This window comes from Homo sapiens, chromosome 21 (genome assembly GCF_000001405.40).
Source record: "Homo sapiens chromosome 21, GRCh38.p14 Primary Assembly".
NCBI classification, from domain to species: domain Eukaryota; kingdom Metazoa; phylum Chordata; class Mammalia; order Primates; family Hominidae; genus Homo; species Homo sapiens.
The window spans coordinates 9,644,391-9,654,056 of record NC_000021.9 but is presented as its reverse complement, the minus strand read 5'-3'; the positions used below and the strand labels follow the sequence as shown (position 1 = coordinate 9,654,056).

The window sequence follows — 9,666 nt, the reverse complement described above, 5'->3', positions numbered from 1 at the left end:
GGTGAAATATTATAATTGTGAATTGCATTGACTAAAACTAAAATAAACATGAGAACCAGGGTAATAAAATGAATATAAATGCCACATGCCCTGGAAATAAACCAATATCGAAACTAACAAAAAGTAGAAGAAGAAGGAGGAAAGAATGGAAGACATAGGGTAGATCAAGGCTGCTGCATATGATGTTTGTACAGTTTTCAACTTTGAGGGGTCTCGTTTGCTGAGACCCTGACATCATCTGCAGCTCCAGAGCTGAGAGACACGATGTGCACACACACAGGTGGGGGTCTGAGGAGGAGGACTTGGTCAACTCAGCTATAACAGCCAGGACTCAAAGTGGATCATTCAAAGCAGTAAATCAAATGTTAGAAATAGAAGTGTATGTAATAGCAAAATAACAAACATTAAATAACATGCCACGGATACTCTCATTGACAGAATTCTAGTAGTGAGAGGCCTGGAAGGGAGTAGAAAGAGAAACCACCTAGTTTTAACACAGCGGAAAATAGAGAAGTAATCACTCCTGGGTAAAAGAAGAGATCATAAAAATACTGCATAAAGCTGTCATTTAAAAAATTACCACTGAGCAAGTCCCCAAATGAAGCTACCAGAAAACAGTTTTTCTCAAGCAAATAAATCAGATCACATAGAAAACAACTTTTAAAATTTATGAACACATAAGATGCTATCATATATGCATGAAACACCAAGCATAACTGTTATATCAATAAATATAAATGTAAATATGATATACACATATACAATTAACCATTACTGAAGGACTTAAAAAAGAATTTGATCAGATTTCCAGAGGAGAGGAGCTTGGGATACTCTTTTCCCTGCAGTGAAACAACCGTTTAACTGGTAAAAATTATAAAACACATTTAAAGTCTCTGGAAATTGACCTAAGGGCAGATGCAAATTAATAAGCATTTATTCAAGAAAATCTCCTAAATGTTGATAAAACAGTGGAAGTCTGTGTCCTCTGAGCCAGAGCTAGTTCCTATTCCCTCCTCCAGCTCCATGTCACAGGAGATCTTCTCCACATCACATGACCACATATCACATGACCAGGAACATGGGAACTCCTTTTCAGCCCCACTCCCAGTCAAAGACGTATGATTACACCCCAGGTGATCTCATCCCCAGACACCACCCCTCTAAGTAAAGGAAATTAGGATGCCATCTCACATCAAGGGGACAGATGAGATGTTTCAACAATGTTGATGTTTGTACAACTAGGAAGATATATGAAAAAATAAAGTTAGATTCATTTCCCACATCACATACCAAAATAAATTCCAAATACGACAAAAATTTTAATGTGAATAAAAATAAAACTATACAAAAACATAAAATAACATTAAAGAATTTCTTTAAAACCTGGAAGTGAGGATGACCTTTTTATTTCTGAAAATCCAGAATCCATAAAGTATTAACATTTTATCACATACAAATTAAAAATTTCTACATGGCAAAAAATAAGGTATTTGGATCTAAAGACATATAACAAATTGGAGGGCAGACATTTGTAATCATATCACAGATAACGAGTGAATCTCTCTGTATAGGAAGTTTTAGAAATGAAGAAGGAAAAGATAAACAACAGAAAAGGATTCAAAGATAAATAGTTCTCAGAAAAATTCAAATAATTTTTTGATAGATGTCAACCTCAGTTATAAAACGAGAAAAGCATTTAAATTACCATGAAATAACATTTTTCACCTTTAGATTGGCAAGAACTAAAATTTTTATAATATATATCATCAGTAAGGCTGTGGAGTGTAAGCTTTTACTACCTCTACCGAGGGCAATTAGTATCTATCAAAGTTGCAAATACCTGTAATATTTGACAGAGCATTCCCACTTTGGGGTTTATACAACATACTTGAACATGTGTAAAATAATGTATGCATAAGTGTACTCATCAAAGCTATTAACTATTAACAAAAGATTCAAAATAATTTTATTCTTCAATCTTGGACTAGTTAAGTAAATTTTTGTCTAAGTTCAATGGAATGCTATGTCTTCATTTTAAAAATACATAAAGTCTACATATTGACTTATATGAAATATTATTTAGAGAAAAAATAAGGTTTAAAACAGTGTGTTTAATAAACTGCCCTTGCTGTAAAAAGAGAAAACATAAAGGTATACATTTATTTTTGCTTGCATATGCCAACAGAAACCCTAGAAGAACGCAAAAGAAACTAATGACATCAGTAGCCTCATGATGTGGCCATGGGGACTGAAATGGAGACAATTACGAGATTAGGAGGAAGACTTTTCAATGTATACTTTTACATTTTTTAGATATTTAGCCATGTGCATTGATTTCCTACTTCAAAATATACCCAAATTTTAAAATAAAAGATATAAAATTCAAGATAATATAGATCAAATAATCCATTCACCCTGGCCCAGTCACCACTCCTTCCTCTACACAAATACGCACCTACAGAGAATTTTTGAAATCCTCTAGAGAAATACACACCTACAGAGAAGTTTTGCAAAAATAAAAATAAAAAAGCAAGAGGCAAAGCAGTGTTTATTACTAGCTGAGATGCTTTTGCCCCCTTAACCCCCACAGGCTGAACCACTTGGAGAAATTGTCCAGCCTTGCATAGACACAGAAATGGGCTCCTCTCTTGAAAGCAATTCTGAACCTCAGTGTTACACCGGGCCCAGAACACAAACACGGGGAAGCAGGGAGAGAAGAGGAATAACAATGCCTCCAAAGACTGGGGTTAACCTAGGCCTTCCCAAGCTGGAGAAGTAGATGAGCACCAGGCTGCCACAGCTAGTAGGGTGCAGGCACTGGCCCCTGAAATTCTCATTCTGTTTCTCCCAAGAAATGTCTGAAGGGAGGTCAATGTCTGCTCAATGATCTTGCCCTTGCGCTCAGAATAAGAAACTTCTGATTTTTACCCCTTCGAGGCCCCACCTGTAAACAATGTAAACCAATCAGGTATCACAAAACCTGAACGCTACGCCTTATTTTGGGGAAATGAACTTTATTGCTCTTGATCTACACTCAGCTCTTGTAGACAAGTGGGAGCGTGGGAGACACAAAAGGGTAGAGAAAGAGCCCTGTGCTTACCAGGGAGGCTACTGTGGTGTTTTGGAGGCTAAGTTCAGGAGTTTATCCAGCACAGAAGGCAGGGGTTTAATGCCTCTTATCAATAAATATTTACACATATAACCTGCATGCATTGAATCTATAATGTGCATACATTTCTTGTACCTGAAAATATCTAATATTAAACCAAGGAGAAATATAATTATAGATAATATAATACACATAGTTATAGCATACATTTTAGATGAAGCATTTTTGCATGCTAGGGTAGACAATACACACAGTTACAGCATACATCGTAGATGAAGCATTTTTGTATGCTAGGGTAAACACAAAACCTGTTTGCTATGAAGGCCCTGGCGGTCTGTACCTCTAGCCAATCATTTGCATACTATTAAATAGCACGTTTGCAGTAAAACTAGAAGGCAATAAAGCTGTATCCATGTGCTCTCTAACCTATTTGATCAATGCTGCCATAAGAGCTTCAGAGATTGAATATTTGTGTGGCTCTCAATTTTGCTCACTATTTACGTAAATTAGAAGTTTAAATGTAGGATAATGGTAATAATTTATGTCATCTAACAAACAGCTCTCTAAAGTCTTTGGAATATAAGGTCTCTGGATAGCCAAAACTTCTAATTAATTGAGGATTACAACTTTAATCAACAATAATTTTTTTTAATAATTTAAATATTTTGGGTGAAAATCTTTTCAAACAATTTTCAAAGCCTAAAAGCTTTGAATTTGGTTGATAATTTCTAAGTCAACACTATGAACACTGGGTTACATATAATAGATATAATCTATGTCATACAAACATGTACACAATAGATATGATGAGGTCTGTTAAACTATGTGGGGTTATTTGCATTGGTCTATTTTTCCACTTACTTTGTGAGTTTTTCTCTCCCTTTCCTTGCTGTCAGTGTCCTCATGTAGCAGCTTTTCTCCTTATTTCTAATTTTCTCATTTTACATCTACTACAGGCTTTGAAATTGCATACTGAAGCTTCTTTAAGCAGTATGTAACCTAAGATTAGGCCTTGAAATAAGGGCGAAAGAGATCACTTTCAAGCCACATGTGTGAGACTTGAATGCAGGCCCTTGAGATGATACTTTGGCTGTATACAGGTTTGTTGCTTCCTGCTTTAGGCTACATCTAAAGAAGAGTTTTCTCTGATAAGAGTTTGGGTTAGATTCAACATAACCTTAGAAGAAATGGCTACCCTATTTTATTTATGCTTTGCTTTTTTTACAAAAAAGAAATTTTATTAAAATGTATATAAAATCACGTGATAAAATATTTTTTAAAAAAAGAAAAAAAAAAGTGAGGTCTTTGAAATGTAAGGCAAAAGGCAAGAGCAGACAGAGCCAGGTATAAGACTCATCACACAATGCAAGCCAACAACCCTCCATCTTTGCCAGAGATGAGGAACAAAGTTGGTTTTATGCTTTGTAGTCCATCCAAAAGGCTAACAAAACTCATATTGTTACTTAGTGTAAATAAAACAATCGCTTCAGTAAAGTGCAAGTTTTTCAGACAGTGAGTCCAGAAAACAATTACTTCTTACTTCCTCCTCAAGAAATCACTGTGAAATGCAAAAATAATGTTCTCGGCAATGACGTTACAAGAAACCCAAAGATGAGTTTTAATAGCATAATTCAATGAAAAATAATTATACGGGAAAAGAAAAGATTACAGCTCACCAGAAACACAAAATTGCGTATTCCAAAGCACAACCACTGATGGTCTGTGGCTGCTCCTGGTGGCTCAATGGCACATCTGTGACAGTGTTGGATGCACACAGGTGGTCATCTCCCAGTACAGTGTGAGTCATTCAGCACCTCAAGTCACTGAAGAGTGCCTGACAGACCCTAGGCCCTCCTAGCCCCACATCTCAGTCTTGGTTCCTCAATACATCAGCTAAGTCTTGATTTAAGCAAATGAAAACACAGCAGGGAGCTCTACTATTATTCCAAATATGATTACTCACTATAGGCTTTAGAACAAAGGAAATAGAGACAAATTAATCAAAAGAAGCAAAATATCTAGTAAAGACATTACTGTCAGTGGTTGGTGGTTAATGAGTGAGTGACCTGGATAAGGACTACTTATTGCTAAAGGCATCCTCCAATACACAGAGTGGGGAAAGTGAAAGAAAATTAAACACACAAAAACAGCACTACTCTTTTTTGCCTGTGACAGCAAGCCAAAATGTCAACACCAACTCCTTAACTTTACTTTCCATGTAAGCAAGCAGCATTAGCATTTCTCTAGAGGAAAGGACAAAAAAATAGTTCATAACAAGGTAACATTTGGAATTAAAAACATAAACTGGTGTGGTTCAACAAAGCCAGATTTTTCAGTGCAAACAATGTATCAACTGTCAGTTGAGTGAAAAGATAACCCAGTCTCCAAAGCCTAGGGGCCTGGAATTATACACTGCAAGGTATTGTGCATCAATTTCCTATGTGTCAGAGAAAGGAACAGTTTAGCCTTGACACCAAGAGGTCTGCACACACAAATACCTAAAAGTCTATTCATGTCCTTAGCCCACTTTTGGATGGGATTATTTGTTTGTTTCTTGCTAATTTGTTTGAGTCCATTGTAGATTCTGGATATCAGTCCTGTGTCAGATGTATAGATTGTGAAGATTTTCTCCCACTCTGTGTGTTGTCTGTTTACTCTGCTGACTGTTTCTTTTGCTGTGCAAAAGCTCTTTAGTTTGATTAGGTCCCAGCTATTTATTTTTGTTCTTATTGCATTTGCTTATGGGTTCTTGTTCATGAAATCCTTGCCTAAGCCAATGTCTAGAAGAGTTTTCCCAATGTTGTCTTTTAGAATTTTTATAGTTTCTTGTCTTGGATTTAAATCCTTCATCCATCTTGAGTACCACTTGTTCCCCAATAACCTATGGAAATACAAATATTAAAAAATACAAAAATACAAACTAAAAGTCACTTAGCACTCAATTGCAGTATGTCTAAACCTCTTGGAAAGATGGATGCCTTTCAACTATTAAAATTATTTTTTAACTATATATCTGAAAAGTATTATTAATAAAGATTCTTGAATGTAGCAGTTATAGTTCCAGAGAAAGAGTGCCAGGTGTACAGCTCTTAGAATGTAAGCTATTAAGATGCAGAGATTGTATCTGTGCAAATCACTTTGTTCAACACCAAAAGCATGTCAGCAAGAAGTGAAATATTTACAAATTTTTTTTGATGACAATGACAAGGAATCAGGACCCTTGATTAGAAGAGATGGATATCCAAGTCAAACCAGCTATCTTAGAAAAGAAATTGGGAGCTCCCCTTAACAAATGTTGAGAAGAGCAGAAGCAGAGCTGGGCCTCCAGCTAGTGCCAACATCTGAAAAGGGGCTGTTGGGAAGAGCAGAAGCAGAACTGGGCCTCAAGCTAGTGCCAGCATCTGAGCATCTGAAAAGGGGCCAGGACTCCCTGTCTCTAAGTCTTTCATTCCCACTTTCTTGGTATCTTGGCTTTATCTCCAAACCAAAATCCTTTTCTTCCCTAGAGGAGGAAATAGAACTCCAGTAGCTCTCTGCTAGCATCAAGCTAAGCTGAGGTATAAAAACTCTCTTCTACTTAGTTCTGTGCATGGACAGAATCATCTGCCTACTCACAAACCAATCCTGTATTGGGGGTGTGACATTTTGATCTCCCAGGTTGGGTCATGTGCCTACCCTTAGGGTGGGAGGCAGGGATTTATGAGTTGGGTGAGGAAAGAGAAATAGTTCCTGCAGAGGAAAGGAACATGCACTGAACTACAGAAATGGGGAGAAGCAATGAATATTAAAAGAAGTAGACTGATGTTAGGAGAAAATGGCAAAACTAGGGTAGATTCCCATATATCTCAGCAGGAGTACTAGAGAGCCCCATGTGTTAATACACAAGAATACATTTTATAGAAGATGTTATTATTATTTCTATGAAACTGGATACTCAGTTGAATTCATACATGAATGCATAATGCCATCGCTCACTACCAAAAATTTTGCAGTAGAGCTTCCCACATTTGGGGCAATTCCAGGGATCAGCATATCCCTATGATGGATCCAGAGTGGAATGGATAAGCCTTGCCCTGGGAAAACTGCCTTTAAGATCATGGTATCTGCCCTGCCAGGTAAGTATGAAACTGGATATTTCTAAGGCACATTGGAACAAACCTCATTTTTAGCCACAAGTTATGGGTATCTTGAAAAGCCCTTATTGCAAAACACATAGAAATAGCAGGTAAAATACAGTCAACATGGACTTAAATGCCTAGTTGTGCTTCCAGGAGGATAAGGAAACCCCCGGGGGAAGATGGCAAAGCAGAAAACCTGAATGGCCAATGAATGCAAAACCATGGCTGCTAGAGAAACATTTCCCAACCTCAAGAATCTAGAGACGTGAATCTGAAGGCTGAGTGGGGTGGCAGAAGACAAGGCTTTAGGTCACTGCCAGGTAGAGACCTCTGCATACGTTCAGAACTCATTAATCAGGAATTAAAAGCTTCTAACAAAAGTAAAGAGATAAAAAAGGAGCTTGTTCATCTCATGTTCATTGCAGCATTATTCATAATAGCCAAGAGGTAAAAGCAACCTAAATATCTGTCAAGAGATGAATGGATTTTAAAAAGTGGTATATACACAATAAATTATTATTCAGCCTTAAAAAAAAAGGAAATCCTTTCATATGTCATAACATAGATAAACCTTGGGGATACTATACTAAGTGAAATAAACCAGTCACAAAAATACAAACACAGTGCTGCATGATCCTTCTTATATGAGGTTTTTAAAGTAGTCAAACTCTTAGAAACAGAGACGTAAAATGGCAGATGCCAGGGACTAGCGGAGGGGGAAAAGAGGACTTGTTCAATGGGTATAGAGTTTTATAGGTGAATCCCACACTCTAATCCTACTCAAGCTGGTATAGAGGATGGGAACAAAGATAAGACTATAGATTTATGAACAATAAAAAGTGTAAACCAAGCATTCTATACCTAGCCAAACTGTCATTCACATATGGAGACAAAAAGAGAAAAAGAGTTTCAAACATGCAGGAATGTAGGACAATCATTTGTACAACCTTACTGAAAAATTGTTCTCTGAATTAAAATAAATGTGGCCGGGCACAGTGGCTCATGCCTGTAATCCCAGCACTTTCGGAGGCCAAGGTGGATGGATCACTTGAGGCCAAGGTTCAAGGCCATCCTGGGTAACATGGTGAAACCCCATCTCTAGTAAAAACTCAAAAATTAGTTGGGCCATGGTGGCGGGCTCCTGTAATCCCAGCTGAGGCAGGAGAATCACTTGAACCTGAGAGGCAGAGGCTGCAGTGAGCACAGCACTGCACTCCAGCCTGAGTGACAGAGGGAAACTATGCCTCCGAGAAAAACCAAGCGGACAGACAAATACATTTTACACTTTCAAAGATCAAATTATTTGTGATTATAGTGCTCATCATTTACTGAGCATATAATCCCTACCAGTAGTTTCACTAGATACTTTGTAAATGCCATTTCTGTCTATCCTTCAACAAGCCTCTAAATTAGATGTTCTATCCACTTTATGGATATGAGAAATCTAAGAGAACTGACTAACCCACTCTTAGATTTCTCATCTATGAAGTTGACAAAATAGCTCATTTACAGGCTTTGTAATTTCTAAAATATCATATAGCTAGGATTGTAAATTGATCCTGGTACTTTTTGATTTTTTGAGTTAAAGTTCATGCTGAAGCGTGTTGGGTTGACAGGCATTCTGAAATTCAGCACAGGGCATAAGCAAAATGGCATCTTTTCCTACTGGGGTAAAGGAGCCAGACCACCAAAATAATCGGTTCTTTAAACCTCCTTTCTGATTACTCACATCCTCAAAACTTTATGAACTCTTAACATGATATCGTGTACACTGGAAAAATGCAATGTATATTTTTAATAAAAATGGAGTGGGTTTTAGGAGATCTAGAGCAGTGACAGCTGACATCCAAACTGTTCTATTTCACGCGAGGAGGTTTCCATCTTCCACCATCACGACCTCCACCTTCCTGCTCTTCACTCCTCCTTACTTTACTGATCTAGTTACTGTTTTTCTCTCTTCCAATTCAGACTCAAAGTGACAGGACGGGACAGAATGAGGCAGAAATCACAGGGTTTGTAAGGCCTGGAGAATGGGGTCCACACAAACCTTTGGACCACTTTTTCTCAGGGGTAGACTTGATGCTCAGATGCTGATGTTCTGTGCTGGACCTGTTTGGGTTCCTCCTCCTCATTCACTCTTGCTCCTGAGCATCACCTGCTCTGACTTGTAAACGTTCTTCTAACATCCCCTAACACAAAGGAGTTAACTGAAGCTCTGAGAGGCCTGGAGGTCAGTCATGGACCTTCACATTATTTGACTTTAAACAAATCTTGAAAGATTCATCCCCCTCAACATGGCACTTGTGTGCATGTAGAGGCATTCATCTCACACCACTACAAAAGAAGCAGCAGTGTTTGCCAGAAATCATGGGATTCCTCTCTTTTCCCTGGGCTCCAGGTCTGAATTGCCAGGCCGGCTTTGTCAGGAGTGATATATGT

General features: G+C 37.8%; 1 pseudogene; it reads right to left on the bottom strand.

The window, feature by feature from the left end:
* Positions 1-7,056: 7,056 nt before the first annotated feature.
* Positions 7,057-7,232, bottom strand: LOC124905061 (uncharacterized; annotated as a pseudogene).
* Between the last annotated feature and the right edge of the window lie 2,434 nt (positions 7,233-9,666).